This window comes from Homo sapiens, chromosome 3, assembly GCF_000001405.40.
Source record: "Homo sapiens chromosome 3, GRCh38.p14 Primary Assembly".
Classification (NCBI taxonomy): domain Eukaryota; kingdom Metazoa; phylum Chordata; class Mammalia; order Primates; family Hominidae; genus Homo; species Homo sapiens.
The window spans coordinates 17718839-17741341 of NC_000003.12; the positions used below are offsets into that span (position 1 = coordinate 17718839).

The following is a 22503-nucleotide window of genomic DNA, read 5'->3' on the forward strand; positions in this document are numbered from 1 at the left end:
GAATTAAAAAACCCTATAGACAGATGACCCAGACTCAAAAATAATCAAATTTTGCTATAGTTATTCAACTGTCCCAGACCTATTTCACCACTACATACCGAAAACACACAAAAAGTACAAATTCTTCTTACATAATCCCAATGTCATTATCTCAACAATATCAATAATTCCTTGGTATCATCAAGTATTGAAATTTTAAAAATAAAATCAACTAAATTACAAAAAAGATTTGCTTCCACCAAAGTTTTCATTGATCCTCTCAATACTGCAATAATTTATAGTTTCTTAAATAAACTTTTTTATAAAGGATAATGGCTATTTAAGACAAAAAAAACTACAATGTTTCAAATGAAAGCTTACCATCAACTAATAACACTGGTCACCATACACACTGACAAACCACTAAGGAGAAGCTGCAGTGTTATGTATTTTTCCACTACAAATCTAGAACGTTATTTAGTATCTGAAAAATGAAAGGTTTCTCAGCAGAGCACCACAAAAATCACCCAGTAAAACCTGTTAGCATATTATTTATTTCCCATAAGCAATCATAACTAGAAAAGCCCATTTTGTCCAGTATTATTTTTTTAAATGGACTATTAGATAAACTTAAAAATCTAGATTTCTTTTGTTTAACCTCAGTTTTCTTAACAGTATTACAGAATGTGAAGACATGATTATCCACAAAAATCCCTTTGGTTTTGCAGAAAGGTCAAACTACAGCACTGAAGAGATACATGAATAAACTCTACTTAACAAACAATAGTAGTAACTGCTATTCCTATGAGGACTGACTTTGATGCACAAAAGTTTAAGTTTGACATAATAAAATCAAAAAATATCATTTTCAAAATATAAAATTAGAGGACATAAAACAGAGGCTCACTCAAACTTAACCTATAATTTTTCACATAGTACATTCACTAGTTAATAAGAAATTACCAGTCTGTGTTATATAAACAACCAAAGCTCAAAATAGGAAATACAAAGCCAAATGTAAACAAGAAAATAATCTACATGTGTTTTATAGTGTCTTTTCTAATCCTATGTATTTTTACTAATGCAAAATATATCAACTTAGTATAATCCTAACACTCTTTAAAGTTTGTGATTATAGGGATTACCTCCAAGATCAAAACCAGCACTGCATGAATACTAATATCACATGATCTAAAACTACACAAAAATTTGCTCTGCTCAAGTTTTGCATCACGAGTGTCTAAAGTAAATCAAGAAAATTAAAACACTTAACATGTTTAATAGGAAGTATTTGTGTATGTGTGTATTTAGATAAAGCCGTGTCGCTCTTTTTACCCAAATCACTTTCAAGTATTTGACTGAAGATCCTGCAACTTTTTAAAAGATAAATCAAGAAATGGCTGCTTTGTTTTCAATGTCTCTGTAACCTGAAAAAAACTGAAAAGCTACAAATGTAACACATTTGTGTAGCCAACATTTTTAAAATGATATCAAGTTTCAAAGATAAAAACCTCTGCATTGTCTTTATAATATTCTTAAATTTCATTATAATAAAAAATATGGTTTAAAAATGCAATCAGCTAATACATTCTACTTAGTCATCACTACTCAATGAGAGAAAATAATGGCTAAATGTTGAGTAAAAATAAAAGAACTAGAAAATAATTTGCAAGGTGTACAAGTAATTCTACATCATAAAACACTGTAGGTTGGGCATGGTGGCTCACACCTATAATCCCAGTACTTTGGGAAGGCAAGGTAGGAGGATTGCTTGAGCCCAGGAAGTTTGAGACCAGCTTGGGCAACATAGGGAGACCCTGCCTCTAAAACAAATTTTTTTTAGGTAGCTGGGCATGGTAGCACATACCTGTGGTCCCAGCTATTTCAGAGGATCACTTGAGTGGGGAGGATCTCCTGAGCCTGGGAAATCAAGGCTGTATTTAGAAGTGATAGCGCCACTACCCTGTAGCCTGAGCAACAGAGTGAGACTTTCTTTTTTTTTTTGACTTTACTTTTTTTCTTTTTGTTTGTTTGTTTTTTGAGATGGAGTCTCACTCTGTCATCCAGGCTAGAGTGCAGTGGCACAATCTTGGTTCATTGTAACCTCTGCCTCTTGGGTTCAAGCGATTCTCCTGCCTCAGCCTTCCAAGTAGCTGGGATCACAGGTGTGCACTACAACGCCTGAGTAATTTTTGTATTTGTTAGTAGAGACAGGGTTTTGCTATGTTGGCCAGGCTGGTCTTGAATTCCTGACCTCAACTGATCCGCCTGCCTCAGCCTCCCAAAGTGCTGGGATTACAGGGATGAGAAACCACACCCCGCCGAGACTGTTTCAAAAACAACAACAACAAAAAATTATATTTGTGTCTCAACTATAAACTATAAAAAGAAAAATCTAGGTCTATCAAATATTTTATAGAAATAAGTATTCTTAAACAGTAATTAGAGTTCTCTGATGGCTGTTATCCTAAATTATTGTAGGTCAATAAATTTACCTTTGGAAAACAAAAGTGTAATGTCAAGTACATAGTTTATAACCATTTTTTTAACTGAATTAATATTAAAAAATTCAGGTTTACCGTAAGTTAACTGTCAACATGAACTTCAACATCAAGAGACAGAAAAGTAAGTGTGTGAGAGCATGTGTGTGTGTGTGTGTGTGTGTGTGTGTTGTGGCTGGCAATCTTTTTAACTTTTTAAATAAAGTCACTAATTTCATCTTGCCTTCATGCCACTGCCTCTTTCATAAGTGTCATGAAAAATGTGAAGCTATGAGCCTGGCTGGTGGAAGTTGCAGTGAACCGAGATTGTGCCACTACACTCTAGCCTGGGCGACAGAGTGAGACCCTGTCTCAAAAAATAGTAATAATAATAATAATGTGGCTGGGCATGGTGGCTCACGCCTGTAATCCTAGCACTTTGGGAAGCCGAGGCGGGCAGATTCCCTGAGCTCGGGAGTTCAAGACCAGCCTGGGCAACATGGCAAGACCCCATCTCTACTAAAAACACAAAAATTAGCCAAGCGGTAGTGGCACATGCCTGTAATCCCAGCTACTGGGGAGGCTGAGGTAAAACAATCATTTGAACCCAGGAGGCAGAGATTGCAGTGAGCCGAGATCACGCCATTGCACTCCAGCCTGGGCGACAGAGCAAGACACTGTCTCAAAAAATTAATTAATTAACTACTACTAATAATAATAATAATGTGAAGTTGCCTGACCTGTGAGCAACATACACAACCAACGTTATGGGAAACTAACCATCAAATCAACAGGTAAAGCCTTATTCTGATATTTTCTTGCCTTCAAAAAAAAGTATCATTACTATCAACGTCCTTAACTCTTCTATATTAAAAGTATCATCAATTCTTTTATATTATTTGTACAATTTCAACCTCCTTGCCAGATTTAATTAACGCTTCTATTTTACTCAGCACAAGTATCCCTTATACAAAATACTTGGGACCAGAAGTGTTTCAGATTTTTTTTCAAATTTTTGAATATATGCATATACATAATGACATATCCTGGAGATGGGACCCTAGTATAAACATAAAATTCATTTATCTTTCATTTATACCTTATGTACATAGCCTTAAGGTAATTTTACACAATATTTTGTGCATAAAACAAAGTTCTCACTGTGATGCATCACAGGTCAGGTTTGATATTTTCCACCTCTGGTGTCACATCTGCACTCAAAAAGTTTTGGATTTTGGATCATTTCAGATTTCAATTTTTCAAAAGCTCAACCTGTAGTAACAATTTTTAAGTTGCAATATCTTGGGAACCCACTCAGAGTCATACACTGTCCTCAGTGCCTTTTACAAACATAACTGCAATACACCCACAATACACCTGCAAGGTAGTCGTTATCCCCAGTTTACAAATGAGAAAACTAAGTCTCAGAACAGTTGTCACTTGAGCATGATTGCATTACTAAGTGGTGGAGCCAGATTTTAATCCAGATCCATTTAACTTTAAGGTCTGTTTGCTCTTCCCACTATCCTAGGATCTCCCTTACACAAACCTTGTTCATGGATGAAAAACACATCTCCCACTATTTTTTTCCCCAGAAATGTATTTGGGACTGGGGCAGTGAGAGTAAAGTAATTTCCAGGACTAATTTTTGCAAATAGCAGGACATGGTTTTCCCCAAATGTGGTTTGCATTTTACCATTTCAAATATGAATATTAAGAATTACATTATTGGGGTGAAATTGGTCATTCAGTACAAAAAATAGTTCTAAAGAATGAATAAAACCTACTATTATATAGTGCAACTATTATTAACTATATTATTGTCTAGGGTGACTAGACAATAATAATAATGGTACATTCTAAAGTAACTAAAAGTGTAATTTGATTGTTTGTAATACAAAGAATAAATGTTTCAGGGGATGGATACCCATTCTCTATGTGTGATTATTTCACACTGCATGCTTGAACCAAAACATCTCATGTACTTCATAAATATATACACCTATTACATACCCACAAAAATTAAAAAATTTAAGAAACCAAAAAAGTAAAAATAAAAAAATACATTATTAATAGAGCAAGACTTAAAAACATCCATTAATCACACCACAAAAGATTTCCTACAAAAATACTGATGATTTTGAACAGAGCAAAGATCCAAAAGTTGGAGTAATGTATTGGTAAAAGTACTGCCAAACAGTATCTGTGTTTACTAAGTATAAACAATAATTTTCTAAGAATAAAATAATTATGTGAAGCTCAGAATTGCTTATACAGTTTGCCCTTGAACAACATGGGTTTGAACTCTGCCAGTACACTCGTGGATTTTTTCAAAACATATATTTAAAAAATTTTTTGGAGATTCACAACAATTTGAAAAAATTCAGATGAACCACACAGCCTACAAATATCAAAATTAATGCATAAAATACATGTAGATACCAGTCTATTTATGTGTTAACCAACTGTTTATATTGTCGGTGGGGCTTGCAGTAAACAGTAAGCTATTAGTAGTTAAGTTTGAGGGAGTCAAAAGTTATCAATGGATTTTCAACTGCACAGGGAGTGGGTACCCTTAACTCCTACACTGTTCAAGGGTCAACTACATTAGAATACTTCATTATAATACTAGAACCAATCAGAAAATATATCTATCTATACATGTTCTCTTTAAAATCAGAGAATATTTTCCAATTCTATCTGAAAATGTCTATTTCACTATTTTACCCTTACTCCTGAAATATATTTTCATCAGGTATAGAAATCCCGATTGGCAACTTTTTTTTTTTTTTTTTTTTGAGACAAACTCTCACTCTGTGTTATCCAGGCTGGACCGCAGTAGCACAATCACAACTCACTGCAGCCTCACTGGGCTCAAGCAATCCTCTAGCCTCAGTCTCCCAAATGGCTGTGCCTATGGTCTCAGCAGGGACCACCAGCACACGCCACCATGCTCGTCTAATTTTTTTAAAGTATTTGTAGAGATGGGGTCTTACTATGCTGTCCAGGTTGGTCTCAAACTATTGGGCCCAAGCAATCCTCCCACCTCAGCCTCCCAAAGTGCTGGGGTTACAGGCATGAGCCACCACACCCAGCCTAGATTGGCAAATTTTTTTCCAGCACATTGAGATATCACTCCAGTGTTTCCTGGCTTCCATTTTTGCCCCTGTATAGTCAGCTATCATTGTAACTGCCTCAGCTCCTTTGAAGGTAATCTTTTATTCTCTGGCAACTTTTAAGAGATTTTCTTTGTTGTTGATGTTCTTCATTTTACTATGATGTCTCTAGAAGCATATTTTCTTTACGTTATTCTGCTTGCAGTTCTCTCAGCTTCTCAAATTTGTCATGGTGCTTTTTATCAGCTCTGAAACATTCTCAACTATTATCTCATCAAATATTGTCTATTCCTTTCCCATTATTTTTCCCTTCTGCTCTTGGAAAACTAATGAAAGACATGTCACTTTCTCATTTTATGTAATATGTGTATGTGTGTGTTTATAAATATATATCTTACCCTCTTTCTTTTTGCCCATTTCCTTCTCTGTGATACATTCTGGATAATTTCTTCACTCATATATCTAGGTCATTGTGTATCTCTTTCTTTAGTTGTATCCAATCTGCTGTTAACTACACCCAACTTTTTCATTATAATTATTACTGCATTTTTCACTTGTAGAGGCTTCATTGCTTAGGTCTTTTTCAAATGTGTTAAGTTTCTTGTTCCCAGCAGATATTTTTCCATCAATAAATACAGTTGTTTTATAATCTCTGTCTGATATTTCCAATATCCAAAGTTTTTAAGGGTCTATTTCTGTCGTTTTTGCTGCCTCTTACTCATGGTATCATGTTTCCTTGTGTGCTTGGTTATAATTTACTGTGAACTAATTCTATGGAAAATTATTTGTGACAATTCCCTGGAGCCTAAAATTAAAATGTATTCTGAAAGGATTTTCATTTCTTTCTGTGAGGCATCTAAAACCACTTTAAGTTACAGCTTGAGGGATTTTTTTGGTACCAGGCAAAGTAAAATATGAACTGCAAATCCAAGAGAGAGAAGGCCAGTTGTTATAACTACTTAGGAGCGAAGAAGTATTTTTTTTTTTTTTTAGGTCCAAGGCAACTTTTCTTGCAGCCTCCTGTGGGCAAGAGCATAGCAGGGTTTTAATTTTGGTTCGCTCATACTCTACAGGCATGGCTCTTTGGAGTCTCAGTTTTATAGGGAAGGAATTTCTTATTAGACTCCCCACCTTGGGCCATCCTGGGCTTCCATTTCTATATCCTGTGCCTTGTGAGGCCTTCAAAAGCAAAGTAAAAGCTCCTCAGAATGTGGCAAATGTCCTCAGAAGAAAAGCAGTCTTTAATACTCTGCTTCTCTCTCTGAATTCCTGCCTTCATATAGATTCAGTCCTGGTAATTTGTTTTTTAATTTTAGGTTCAGGGGTACATGTGCATGTTTGTCATATACGTAAACTGCATGTCACAGGGGTTTGGTGTGCAGATTATTTCATCACCTAGGCAATAAACACAGTACTCAATAGGTACTTTTATGATCATCTCCCTCCTCCTCCCACCCTCAACCCTCAAGTAGGCCCCAGTGTCTGTTGTTCCCTTCTTTGTGTCCATGTGTACTCAATGTTTAGCTCCCACTTACAAGTGAGAACATGCAGTATCTGGTTTTCTGTTCCTGCATTAGTTCACTTGGGATAATGGCTTCCAGCTTCACCCATGTTGTTACAACGGACATGATGTCATTCTTTTTTATGGCTGCATGGTATTCCATGGTGTGTATGTACCACATTTTCTTTATCCAGTCTACCACTGATGGACATGTAAGTTGATTCCATGTCTTTGCCGTCGCGAACAGTGCTGCAATGAACATACGTGTGCATGTGTTTTTATGATATAAAAATTTATATTTCTTTGGGCATGTACCCAATAATGGGGTTGTAGGTCAAATGATACTTCTATTTTAAGTTGAGAAATCACCACACTACTTTTCCACAATGGCTAAACTAATTTACATTCCCACCACCAGTTTTTAAGCATTCCTTATTCTATAAAACCTCACCAGCATGTTATTTTTTGACTTTTTAGTAATAGCCATTGCTGACTGGTATGAGATGGTATCTCATTGTGGGTTTGATTTGCATTTCCCTAATGATTAATGATGCTGAGCATTTATTCATATGCTTATGGCTGCATATGTATGTCTTCTTTTGAAAAGTGCCTGTTCATGTTCTTTGCTCAATTTTTAATGGGATTGTTTGTTTTTTGCTTGTTCAATTGCTTAAGTTCCTTATTGATTCTGGATATTATACCTCTGTTGGATGGATAGTTTAGAAATATTTCCCCCCATTCTGTAGGTTGTCTGTTTACTTTGCTGATGATTTCTTTTGCTGCTACGCATGTTAGCTCTGAAAGAATAAACCTTTTTAATATATTTTATCCTGCTCTTCTAGTTGTTTTCAGAAAATTACTTTGTCTATGTAAACAAGCTGACCATATTACCCTGTTTTCTATTTCAAAAGGTTTCATATTTTTATATCTTAATCACTAAAAGTTTCATTTTGTGGAACTACGTAACACTGACAGCAAAGAATAACCTCTTTACTCAACTTGATTCCACCAATACTGTCTAGAATAGAATCTTACCAAATCTAACAGATCAATCCTATTATACGGCTACTAATAGATAGTAAGATTCTGAAATTAAGTCTTCAAATAGAAATATGTATAACGGCTGTGGAATTTAGTGGTCTACTGATTGTCCCCCCACTAGCAATACTTAAAATGTACAAAAATTGGCCGGACACAGTGGCTCATGCCTGTAATCCTAGCACTTTGGGAGGCTGAGGCAGGTGGATAACGAGGTCAGGAGTTCGAGACCAGCCTGGCCAAAATGGTGAAACTCCATCTCTACTAAAAATACAAAAATTAGCTGGGCACGGTGGCGCATGCCTGTAATCCCAGCTACTCGAGAGGCTGAGACAGGAGAATCGCTTGATCCCGGGAGGCAGAGGTTGCAGTGAGCCAAGATCGTGCCATTGCACTCTAGCCTGGGTGACAGAGTGAGACTCGGTCTCAAAAAAAGTACAAAAATTAAGTATTTGAAACAACTGGAAGCTTAGCCAGTGTGGTGAAAAGATAATAAATAAAGGAGAACTGAGTTCAATCTTGTTTCTGCCAAGAAACAGAGTCATAAGAAACAATAACAAAAGCAGAAATCACCAAAAAGGGGAAATAACCCAAACGTTTATTAAATTGTTAATCGTCCACAAATCTACATGAAATAAATGATTTTGCTAGAAAAACACAAATTACCAAAATTGATCCAAGAAATGAGAGAAATTTAACACATAAATAACCAAGGAAGAAGCTAAGAGAATAAACAAAGGAATACTCCACAAAAAGCACCAGGCCTACACAAATAGGTGAGTTATTTCAATGACATGCTCTTTAAACTGTTCCAGAGCACAGAGAAAGGATATTATTTTGATGAAACCTGTAAAACAGTGATGTTAAACTTCACAAAGAGAACACATAAATAGAACTGCATGCCTGTTTCGCTTATGAATGACTATGGCTACAAACATCCAAAAGAGTATTAGCAAGTAGAAATCCACACTATATTACAAAGTAATATACAATAAATGTTCACTCTAAGAACATAACAATATTTTGATACTAGAAAAATCTGTTAATATAATTCACCATATTGGAAGGACAAAGGGTGGAAAATATAACTATGTCAAGAGAAACCCAAAAAGGCATTTGATAACAGTCAACATCCACACCTTACAGAAATTATGTTATATGTGATTTTAAAGAGCACACACACGCATACCCACACACCCTAACCAAAGTCAGCACAATGTTTAACGGAGCAATATTTGAAACATTGCCATTAACATCAGGCATCAAACAAGGAGCCTGGCTGCCATCACTATTAATTAAATTTATTCTGAAAGTGGTAGCCAAAGGAATTAGATAAGCCAACAAAATAAAAAGGCGTAAATATTAGAAAGGAAGATGGAACATTCACCAATGTTTGTAGGTATTTTCTACCTAGAAAACCAAAGAGAATCAACTGAAAAACTATCAAAAATCATGAAAGTAAACATGTGAGACCAACCAAAAAAAATTCATAAAGAGAATAATGAGGGAAGTCTGGTCCTATTCAGATATTATAATGTACTAAGAGCTACAGGAACTTGTTACTGATACATATAGAGACAAACGGCTCAATGGAATAAATCCAAGATTTCAGAGACAGATCCAAGAACATATGGGCATTTTGAATTTAATAAAGGTGGTGCTTCAAATCTGTGGAAAAAAGGTAACTTAATAAATTATGCTACAAAAGTTGTCGAGCCATTTGAAAAAAAAATAAATTTGGTTCCTTACTTTCTCTGTACACAGAAAAAATATTTTCAAATAGGTCAAAGACTTATACATAAAAATATGAAACCATAAAAATGTAGCATCAATTAAGTGTTAACAGTTTTATAATTTTGGAATAGGGAAAGTCTTTCTAACATTATCCCAAAACCAAAAATCGTAAACAAAAAGAGTAATATATGAGACTACATAAAAATGTAATAGTTCTTAATAAGAATTTTAAAAATATATAGCAAATTTAAAAACAATGTTGGGAATATTTCCAATATATGATAGGCATAGAGTTAAAGATACAATACTCAAGTGCACCTGAAAATCAGTAAAAAAAAAAAAAAAAAAAAAAAAGTGAATATCCCCAAAAATAAACAAAGGCTCAAACAGGCAATAAAGAAAGAAAAATAAAAGCAATCTATCAATTTTTGCCAACAGACTAACCAAAAACAATGATTTACAACACCCTCTGATAGCAATGTTCTAAACAAATTAGTTCTCTCCTGCACTAAAAGCTGAGGTATAAATTATCTTTCTATAAGGCAGTTTTGCAGTTAAGTACCAAAATTTCTATTACACATACCCTCTCATACAATAATCTCAACTCCAGAAATATGCTTAGGGTACTATCAGTGCATAAGGATTTGTGAAAGATGAAATTTGAGAGAAAAAAAAAAAAAACAGAACACAAAACTGATTAAGTTACATGCTCAATTAAAATGTAAAAATTAGGAAACCAGGCCGGGCGAGGTGGCTCACGCCTATAATCTCAGCACTTTGGGAGGCCAAGGCAGACAGATTACGAGGTCAGGAGATCGAGACCATCTTGGCTAACACGGTGAAACCCCATCTCAACTAAAGATACAAAAAATTAGCTGGGCGTTGTGGTACGCACCTGTAGTCCCAGCTCCTCAGGAGGCTGACGCAGGAGAATCGCTTGAACCTGGGAGGCAGAGGTTGCAGTTAGCCAAGATCACACCACTGCACTACAGCCAGGGAGACAGAGCGAGACTGTCTCAAAAACAACAAACAAACAAAATTAGGAAACCATCTGAATAATTACAGCAATAAAGAACATTAAGTAAAATTGTTCAAGAAGAGTGAGAACAAAGGTCACTTTTTAAAATTGTACTTAATGTTGGTCAGGCATGGTGGCTCACGCCTGTAATCCCAGCACTTTGGGAGGCCAAGGCGGGCGAATCACCTGAGGCCAGGAGTTCAAGACCAGCCTGAACAACATGGTGAAACCCTATCTCTACTAAAAATACAAAAAAATTAGTCGGGCGTGGTGGCAGGCACCTGTAATCCCAGCTACTCAGGAGGCCGAGGCAGGAGAATCGCTTGAACCAGAGAGGCGGAGGTTGCAGTGAGCCAAGAATGCACCACTGCACTCCAGCCTAGGGGACAAGAGTGAAACTCCATCTCAAAAAAAAAAAAATTATACTTAATGTTGTACTTTGATTCTTAAGAAGACGAAAGTATAGACAGGAATTAATTCATTCCACAATTTTTGTAGTTTCATTTTTTGTATTTTAAGTTTGTGTAGCAAATTAAGTAAAGTTGCAAATTCTTTGTCATTTTCTCCACCAATAGATGGAGTTTAATTCTCTTCCTCTTGAATCTGGGCTGACTCTGTCTTCTTAGCCAACAAAATACAGCAGAAGTAATGCTCTATCAGTTCCTAGCCTAGCCTTTAAGGGGACTAGGTTTTTCCACTTTTTGCCTCTTGAAATGCTTGTTCTTAGAGCACTCCTTCTTAGAAACTACCAGTCATGGCCAGGCCACAGGAAAAGGCCTCATTTAGTACCTCTAGTAAATAGCCCTAGCTGAGCTCCTGGACAGCAGCCAGCATAAACTGCCAGCTATGTAAGTGAGCCATTTGGAAGTAGATAATCTAACCCCCACTGAGCTGACACCAGATGAAACGAAGATAAACTACCCTCAATGAGTCCTACAAAAATCATAAAATCATGAGTAAATAAATATTACTGTTGTTTTAAGCTGCAAAGTTTTGAAGCCATTTGTCACACGGCAGTTAACAACCAGAACAGCCTCTTATTTACTGCTGTATTTTTAACACATAGAACAGTACCTGGTATTGGACATCTATTTTTAACAAGCACGCCACCAGAAGTATTAAAGTAAAGATGTTATACGTGGCCCTGGCACTCACAGAGCAGTCAAAAGCATGACATAGACTAATGAGTAAAAAGGTAATTATAATTCACAATAAATATTATAATTCATAATTCATAATATTTATGTATTATGAGTAATACATAAATATTATAGTATAGAGTATTTGGCCAAACAGGAAGAGCACAACACAGACTTGGTAGTATAAAGAAGCTTCCTGGAACAGAGTGGCATTTAAGCTAAGACCTTACAAAAGTGAGTAAGATGAAGAGACAGAAAAACTACTCTGTGCCCAAGGCAAGCAAAAACATGAACAGTTCCAAAATCAAAGAATTTCAGTATTTTTTACTTTTTTACAAAATCACATAATATAAGGGAGGCAGAAGAGGGGGTCATGAGGCTGGGTGCAGTGACTCACGCCTGTAATCCCAGCACTTTGGGAGGCCGAGGCGGGCGGATCACGAGGTCAAGAGATTGAGACCATCCTCGCCAACATGGTGAAACCCCATCTCTAATAAAAATACAAAAATTTGCTGGGCATGGTGGCACACGCCTATAGTCCCAGCTACTCTACTCAGGAGGCTGAGGCAGGAGAATTGCTTGAACCCGGGAGGCGGAGGTTGCAGTGAGCTGAGATCGTGCCACTGCACTCCAGCCCGGCGACAAAGCAAGACTCTGTCTCAAAAAAAAAAAAAAAAAAAAGAGGGTGTCATGAGACTGGAAATAGGCAATGGAGAATATCAGGTTTTAAGCCACAGAATAAGAGAATCGTGAGAGCTTAAAAAGATTACCTACCTGGCTGCGGGGACACCAGTCAGAAGACCTTACAGAAACAAAGGCAAGAGATGATGGGGACCTGAACTAGAGAAGACATAGTAGGGATGAAGACACAATGGGTTCAAATCCACAGGGTTGAGTTTGATGCCTGTACATGAGGATGTAGAGAATGGAGTAAAATGTGTCTGCCACGTTTCTGGCTTGAATAACTAGGGAGATGGTAGTGCTGAGATTAAAAAAAAAATTAATTTAATTAAAAAACACACACTTGTAAAGATTTTTTGTAAGAGAAGAAGGTAAATTCTGTTGCAGACTTACTAAACTGAGTTTCCTGTGAGCCATTAAGAAGTGGAGTTATCCAGTAGGCAATCAGATACACAGATCTGAAAGTTCAGGGAGGAAATCAGGTTGGAGGTCTAAGATAACAGACTCTTCGGGCCAGGCCTAGTGGTTCACACCTGTAATCCCAGCACTTTGGGAGGCCGAGGCAGGCAGATCACTTGAGGTCAGGAGTTAGAAACCAGCCTGGCCAATGTGGTGAAACCCCATCTCTACTAAAAATACAAAAATTAGCTGGGCATGGTGGTGGGCGCCTGTAATCCCAGCTACCCAGGAGGCTGAGGCAGGAGAAGCCCCTGAACCTATGAGGCAGAGATTGCAGTGAGTTAAGGTCACACCACTGCACTCCAGCCTGGGCAACAGAGCGAGACTCCATCTCAAAAAACAAAAAACAAACAAAAAAAGACTCTTCAGAAGCTTTTTCCATCTTGGTGACACTACTCCCACACTATCTACTTTGTAACATTCAACCACTCAGTTACTATTCTATAATTTTCTGGCTGGGCACGGTGGCTCACGCCTGTAATCTCAGCACTTTGGGAGGCCAAGGCGGATGGATCACCTGAGGTCGGGAGTTCAAGAACAGCCTGACCAATAGAGATGGCCACCAGAAGAGATGGCAAAACCCCAACTCTACTAAAAATACAAAAATTTGCCAGGCCTGGTAGCATTCGCCTGTAATCCCAGCTACCCAGGAGGCTGAGACAGAAGAATGGGAGGTTGCAGTAAGATTACACCACTGCACTCCAGCCTGGGTGACAGAGCGAGGCTCCGTCTCAAAAAAATAAATAAATAAATAAATAAATAAAATTTAAATATATATCTATAATTCTCTGACCGTTTGTCTTTATGAAGTATCTGTCTCTCCTTTCATTAATTCTTCCATATCAGTAGTTTCATGTTATAAGGACACTCAACTTTAATCAATACTTTGCCACACCCTTTGCAAAGTGGAATACATGATTGCCACTGATCATGAAATTTTGTAGTAGTTTTGTGACAAGATGGGGACATTAGGGAAACTGATCAGGACCACTTCCCATACTGGTAGAAAGCATATAGTACTCCTGATCAAAGTAGAAAGGAGGTAAGGAGCAATTTTCTGAAAGAAAGGAGACAAGGTATATCTAGAAAATAAACAGGAAGCCAGAAAATCAGTAAGAGGGCAGAATCAATGGAGTCCAGAGAGAGAATCATGAAGCAGAAAGGGGGCCAGAGAAAGAAGAGTTCATACTAGGTGCTTCCCCATTCCTACCTCTCCCGTTCTGTCCTATCTTCACTGCATCCAGGTCTATTTATCACTTCCCAATGACTTCTATTAACCTCAGTTCTGACAATTACAAAATGTGGCTTGGGGAACTTTAAGTAGTCCATGGCAGGAACATAGCTTGATGAGTAAACTCACCATAAGGATCTTACCGGAAGAAAATCATGAAATGTGATTTTGCACAGTCTGAGCTCTGTAGTCTGTCAGTTTTCTCTTTTAATTTACGCTAAACCACACAGAAAAAATCTTCAAGTTCTAAGGAAATAAAAGTGCAGAGTAATCACTTGGGGGGGGTGGAGCTAGACAGCAATAATTATAAAGGAAGAGAGCTACGTACATTACCAGGAATCTTTTGACATAAAAGTAGAATCACAAAATTTCTGAGCTAGAAGGGTCCTTAGAGATCATTTGGTAGAGTGATTTTCCAGATATTTTAAAACCCTTTTGAGAGCTGAGTAGATAAAACACAGGTACCATATCAAAACATTGTATTTCAAGTCAATGAAATTAAGAAAAATCATTCTAGCACAACTTCCGTAAGTCAAAATTAATCATGAAAAAACCCTTAAAAAAAATGGCTGGCTCCAGATGGTATGATTATGTACCTGGAAAATCTAAGAGAATTAACTGAAAAGCCATTATAATAAATAACAGATTCAAAAAGCGACTGGTTACACAATAAATACACAAAAGAAGTTAAAAACTCTTCTATTTACCAGCAATAGTCAGGTTAAGAAAATATATACAGCATTAAAGAAAGAAAATGGGTTCCAGCCTGGGCAACAGTGCAAGACCCTGCCTCAAAAAAAAATGAAAAGTAAAGATGGGCAGATCTTTTGACCCAGCAATTGTATTCACAATAATTTCTCCCAAATAATTAATGCATAGGCACGAAGGGATATTAGCTGTAATAATGTCTAGTGTAGCACTATTTGTCATAAAGATTGAAAGAAATCTAAGTATCTAAAGATGGAGGACTACTTATAGTACATTCATACAATGTATTTTCTAATACACTATATACAAACCTTTATAAATGTTTTATATACCTACATATATATGTGGAGGGCGGAGGGGGAGAGAAATCCCATTTATAAAAATAAAAAATAAAATACAGTGAGACAGAATAGAAGACCCAATAGTAAAGTTTCTGACATCCACAGAAGAAGAAATCATTCATTAAACAGTATTGAGGAAATTGGCTAATCAAAAGCTTAAAATTTTTTGGACCCTCTACTTCATACTGTACAACTAAACATGTTCTAGAATAACTGCAAAACCAAAAATTGAAAATGAAAGTACGAAAACAGTTGAAAAAATAAAATTAATCACTATATAAACATAAGGTAGGAAAAGCCTATCTACGTAAGATACCTAAAGGAAGAACAAGACTTAGCTACATAAAATGTTAAAACCTGTAAGAAGGCAAGAGAAGGGAAGTATAAAGTCAAACCTGAATAAAGCTGTTTAACAAAAATGATAATCCCAATAATGGCATGTAAAAGGCCTCTCAAATGGCTTTGTTGTAAAGGGTAAACTGGCATAATCTTTTTGGTAGGCAATTTGGCCATGTATAACACAACTGTTAAAGATGGGCAACCCAGGCGTGGTGGCTCACAAATATAATCCAAACACTTTGGGAGGCCGATGTGGGAGGATAGCTTGAGCCCCGACGTTTGAGACCAGCCTGGGCAACATAGAGAGACATGGTCTCTACGACAAAAAAAAAAAAATTTAATTAGCTGGGCATGGTGGCATGTGCCTGTGGTCTCAGCTACTCAGAAGGCCGAGGTGGAAGGATCACTTGAGCCTAGGAGCTCAAGGACGCAGTGAGCTGTGATCGTGCCACTGCATTCCAGCCTGGGCAACAGAGCAAGACCTTGTCTTAAAAAAAATAATAAAAATGAAAAATAAAGATGAGAAAATCTTTTGACCCAGCAATTCCACCCATAACAATTTCTCCTAAATAAATAATGCATAGGCACAGAGGGATATTAGCTATAATAGTGTTCAACGTAGCACTATTTATCATGAAGAATGAAAGAAATCTAGGTGTCTAAGAATGGAGGACTACTTATGGTACATTCATACAATGAAATAGTATGGGGCCACTAAAAGTTACGTAGAAAACTAATGACATGAGTAATATCGTATTAGGTGAAAAACAACTGCAAACAACAAAATAGCTGAATCCATTTCAGTTTTTTTAAAAAGGTATATGAGGCTGGAATGAGGTATAATTGTTATGAGTGGGTCTTTGTTCTTAGAACTCCCCCAAGATGGTGGCGGCCACTCCCAAGATGGCAGCAAGCCTTTTGTTCTCTGACCTGGGGTTCTTGGCCTCACAGATTCCAAGGAATGGAACCTTGGGCCTTACGGTGAGTGTTATAGCTCTATTAGAAGCCATGGGTCACAGAAGAGAACCATGGAACCCAGAGACTAGTGTTCAGCTCAATTAGGACGAACCCAGGCATTTAGCCATGCAAGAACAATGGCGAGTCTTTAGCCCGATCAGGAGCAGCAATGGGCACCTCGCTGGATCAGGAGCACAGCGGACACCCTGCTGGATCTGGAGGGGTGGAAGTCAGCAGCAGGTGTGCGACGACAGCAAACAGCAGTGGTGGATGGCGAGCGAAAGCTCAGCTCGAGAAGTAACAAACACGGACCAGAAGAGTGTGCAGTGGCAAGATTTAATAGAGTGAAAACAGGGCTCCCATACAAGGGAGGGGACCCAAAGGGGGTTGCCGCTCCCTGCTCTAATGCCTGGGTTTATATCCCAATCATTGTCCCTCCCACTGTGCTCTCAGGCAATATACGATTTGACTATTTCTTTACCTCCTGCTTTAGAATAATTTGTATTTTAGTGAGCCCTCTTTACTACCTGATTGGTTGGGTATGAGCTGAGTTACAAGCCCTGTGTTTAAAGGCAGATGCAGTCACCTTCCCCAGCTAGGCTTAAGAATTCTTAGTCGGCCTAGGAAATCCAGCTAGTCCTGCCTCTCATAATCATACCACTGCACTCCAGCCTGAGTAACAGAGTGAGACCTTGTCTCTAAAAAATAAAATTTAATAAAATTAAAATTAAAAAGGTAGATCTATAGGTACACACAAACTTGCACACACACATGCCACAGGATAAAGAGACTTAAATTAACCCCAATCTTAGAGAAATGAAGGTGGGTGAGGAGGCAATTTGACCCAAGTCTTCCTAAGTCACCCCATCTATTTATAAAAATGAGCACTCTTACCTTTAGACTCTTGTTCCTCATGGAAGTAAAAGGGGTCTAGTTTAATGAATATGCAGTAGACAAACATGGAAATAGTGGCACTACCTTTCCATCTCCTATCAACTCCACGTCTCCAACCTTGTTCCCCAAAGCTCCACCAGGGATCCAAGGCAATCAATCCACTATCCCATCCCAGGATGGCAAGAGATGTAACGTTAGGAACTCCTCTAGAACTTCTGCCAGGTAGCTGCTGGGACACCTCCAAAGTCTCAATATAAAGTCAAAACACTTCCTGGAGGCCTGGTGCAATGGCTCATGCCTGTAATTCCAGCACTCCAGGAAGCTGGGGCGGGTGGATCACCTGAGTCAGGAGTTTGAGACCAGCCTGAACAACATGGTGAAACCCCGTCTCTACTAAAAATACAAAAAAATTAGCTGGGCTTGGTGGCATGTACCTATAGTCCCAGCCACTCAGGAGGCTGAGGCAGGAGAATCACTTGAACCCAGGAGGCAGAGGTTGCAGTGAGTAGAGATCGCGCCACTGCACTCCAGCCTGGGTGACAGAGTGAGACTCTGTCTCAATTTAAAAAAAAGACAAAAAAAACACTTCCCACCTGTTGTGGGAAACTCTAAAGGGGTTCATTCTGATCCCCACTTATCAGCAAACAGAATGCATACCTCTGCAGCCGGTTCCTAAGATATGTGCTTATTCCAACTCCATCAGGTGGGAGCCGTTTTTCTCTGATGTATCTTCCCCATGGTGCTTATGTCAGAAGTGGGGGCTTACTTCTCACTGGTCTAGTTATTCTGAAGACTCACAATTAGAAGTGGGAATCTAAGTACTTTTGGTTCAACCTTTTTATCTTACTTAGGGACAAAAAGTTTAGTAACCCTAGAAGATAAAACACTCCTGCTTAACCAACATGTGTTACTCAGCTTTCTAAACTAATACTTGTGGTACAAAACTGACATTCATTTTGCAGTATCTCTCAAGGCAAGACAGCCCTGAAGAGAACCTTAAGAAATTCTCAACAGTGCAGATAATTATTTTTCATCATTTGTTTTTATAAAATTTCAACAATAGGCATTACTTTCTATAATGGGGGGAGGTGGCTCTTTTTTCTAATGGCAGGCTAACCTAACATACTGTGATTACTGGATCTAATACATGCACTCATAGCAGAATTTTCTTTAGACATACATACACACTACTCTTCCATAAAGTATCATAAAATTACATCATTCCATTTTAAAAAGTCAATCACTCTTCTTCATGTAGCCTTCATCACTAGCAAAAAAGTAAAGGTAAACACTCTTGTCTTAACAAAAAAACTATGATAACATGTAATCATCTGTAATGCCTATTTCAAAACTTTTAAGACTATTTTGTTTCAAAAAAAAAAAAACCCAGTTAACATCTTTTCTAGGCAACTGAATTAAGAAAAAGAGTAAATCTGCAATTACTGAATATTTTCCTGGAGTTAGCCACAGAAACCACATGCAACACTGGACAATGACTGAATGACATTATCTTTAGATGTTTTTCATCCAAACTAATGGACATTCAGAAAAAAAGGTGATCCTGTACTAGGCTTCGCAACACTACCCTTGAAAGATTTTAACCAATCCTTTCACACCATCACCAAAGACATGTTTTTTTCTACAGCCCTACTTTCTTGTTTTGAAAGATCTGAGCTGTCAAACTATATTTATTTGCATTTAATTCTCCAAAGGGATAAGAGCATTACTATACCAATTTTGTATTTTCATCCAAAAAGTACAAACTCTGCTTTCTTGGCCCATAGAGCCTTATCCCAAATAAACTGTACAATCTCCAAAAATATAGTCAGTCTTGATTATATAGATATGATCTACCACACTGTAGATTATCCACAGAATATCTATCACTTACGTGATAGCATTAAGGGCTTTAAACACACACTCACACATACACACACACACACACACACTCTCTCTCTCTCTCTAATTCTCAAAGTTACTATTATTTTCCCCATTTTAAAGATGAGAAAAGTGAGGCACTGTGAGACTAAGTAGCTGACCAGCATGGCATTATAACACATATCATAATCATACAGAATTTGTAAAAATATTAAAATTATTATTAATAGCTGAAAATACCAATTAGAAGGCTTCCATCATTCGGATGTGCAACAAATGCTTCCCTGGGATAACCGTAAGTAATGACTTGGCCATTCAGCTGTGAGGCCCAGAAAGCATGGCAGAGCTGGTATGTCCATGCAGCCCACAACACAGCATCAGGGTAAGAAATAAAAAAGCCAACAAGTGGGCATGCAGCAAGGGTTTCAACTCTATCCTAATATTCCAAAAGAACAAGAGAGAATTTGGGACAATCTTAACCTCTGATGATAATCTCTGAGCCTCTTTTTATCCCTCAATTTATATAATGTTTAATGTTACTAAATCATTGCACAGGAATTATTTTTAAATGTTTACCTAACATTTGTAGAATGATAAACATTTTCCTAAACACTTCACAGGTTTTTGAGAAAGCATTTACACTGAGATTTGTTGTTACACTGACATCCTTCCCAAATTCACCATTATTCTAGTAATAATTGATGCTACTAGAAGCAGCCCACAGGCCCTCTCCGTCAAATGATCTCCCTCCCCTCTCCCAGCTCTTCCACTGCTGACCATCCCACCACCCCGACCTCACATTTCTCAAGTTCTGGTACACACACTGTACACACTGCCATTCCAATGATCTACCCATGTTGAGAGAAATGTCTCAGGATCAGGTGGACTAGCACCACTTCTCAGACTGCTGCTGCTAACAGGACAAAGCTTTCAGTGGTCTGAGACAAAAAGGGGGTTAAGAGAAGGGATTATATATTCATTTTTAAATGAAACATAAATTATTCAACTTACTTTTATTCCGGGGTTGTCCTTCTTACTTTTTCAGCGTTAAAATGTGATAATGACCAATGCTTCATTTTCTGTATCGTCCTCATTGGCCAAATAAAAAGTCAGAAACCCAGTCAATCCCTAAACCTAAAGGTTAGGATAACAAACACTAAATCTACTACGCATACATGTAGGGTGGAGGACAAGCCCAGGCAGGAAATAAAGGAATAAAAAACTTTCAGAGGAAGTAGATACTTTTACATTTAACAGTGACTACTGGTCCAGTGAACAAGTGCAAGCAAAACGAAACTGCAAATTTCAGTATCTCACTCAGAAAAGATTACAAGCACTGAGGCGGATGACAAATTTGACTTTTAAAATGAAAGCAGGCCAGGCGCGGCCTGGTGTGATCCTGGTGGATCACGTCTGTAATCCCAGCACTTTGGGAGGCTGAGGCAGGCGGATTACTTGAGGTCAGCAGTTCGAGACCAGCCTGGCCAATATAGTGAAACCCCGTCTCTACTAAAAATACAAAAATTAGCCGGGCATGGCGGTGGGCGCCTGTAATCCCAGCTCCTGAGGAGGCTGAGGCAGGAGAATCGCTTGAATCTGGGAGGCGGAGATTGCGGTGAGCTGAGATCGCACCATTATACTCCAGCCTGGACAAGAGCGAAACTCCTTTTCAAAAAAACAAAAAACAAAAAAAAAAAGGTAGGCCGAGCACAGTGGCTCACACCTGTAATTCCAGCACCTTGGGAGGCCGAGATGGACACATCACTTGAGGTCAGGAGGTCGATACCAGCCTGGCCAACATGGTGAAACTCCTCCGTCTCTACTAAAAAAGAACATACAAAATAAAATTAGTCGGGAGTGGTGGCGGGCGGCTATAATCCTGGCTACCTGGGAGGCTGAGGCAGGAGAAGTGTTTGAAACCATGAGGGAGAGGTGGCAGTGAGCCGAGATCGAGCCACTGCACCACTGCACTCCAGCCTGGGCGACAGAGCGAGAGTCCGTCTCAAAAAAAAAAAAAAGTCAAGTTCCGTAAAGCACTTACAACAGTGTCCGGCACTCAGTAAGCGCTTCAGAAGTACTGTCATAAATATCAAAGGACTGGAATGAAAATTATAAAAATTATGGTACTAAAAACTTCCACAAAGTTATTTAGAAGTACAACCTCTGCTCAGTCAGTTGGAGTATAAATAAAAAGAAAAAAATTAAAAGTACAACCATTTCTCCATAAAGTGTTATGAAGTTATGTGTGACATTTCTAAACTTTTTAATTTACGTGTGAAAAAATTACATTAGAAAAAACCTGAATCCAGTTAGAACACCCACTGTACGACTCTCAATTGTTTGCAAATTTGCTTCCAAAACTCAGGAATGCACTACTCAACTGAGGCCGCATTTGAGAGCACACACTCAATACTTCCTCCAATAAAAGAAATTTTCATCTCAGCTGTACACTCAGAGACCAGGATTTTTTTCGCCTATATGTTGATAAAACCCAATGACGCATAGCTGAGCAAGTCTTTCACCTAACAGCACACCAAGCTTCTAATGGAAAATTCACAGACCAGGTGATGCAGTCACCATACAGCATACAGACACAATATTTGCACTCTTCCTATCCCCTCCCCTGGAATCCAGACTCAGCCTGCTCACTCTGAAAGCTTTCTCAGTTCATCCTGCCATTTGCCCCTTCTCCCAAGCCACCTCTACACCCGGGGGTGAGTTATTAAAAAGAACATGTTTATTGATAAATACAACACTTTATTTATTTGCACACAAGTTATCCACTTCCTTGCTACTCAAAGATAGTCCCTTGTCCAGCTGCACATGTTATCAGAAATGTACAATATCAAAATGCACCATAGGCCTACTGAACCAGAAAATGCATTTTTAATAAGAGCCCCAAGTGATTCCCACCCACATTAAGGTTTGAGTGTTCTGTGATACTGCAGATAGCTGTAAAAATTAAAAATGCTCAAGTTTACAAATGAATTCAGAGATATGGTATGAAAAG

At 38.0% G+C, this 22503-nt stretch overlaps 1 protein-coding gene across 64 annotated transcripts in view; it reads right to left on the reverse strand.

Annotated features, from left to right (window-relative positions):
* Positions 1–22503, reverse strand: part of TBC1D5 (TBC1 domain family member 5) — a 585470-nt gene that overhangs the window by 561677 nt on the left and 1290 nt on the right. Inside the window, exon 1 of one of the 64 annotated variants that reach the window (NM_014744.2) lies at positions 20505–22069. The exons of the other annotated variants lie outside the window; for them this stretch is intronic. The gene's annotated coding sequence lies outside the window, so the exon portion shown is untranslated. Of the gene's footprint in view, positions 1–20504; positions 22070–22503 lie in introns of those variants that run through there. 64 annotated transcript variants of the gene reach the window in all.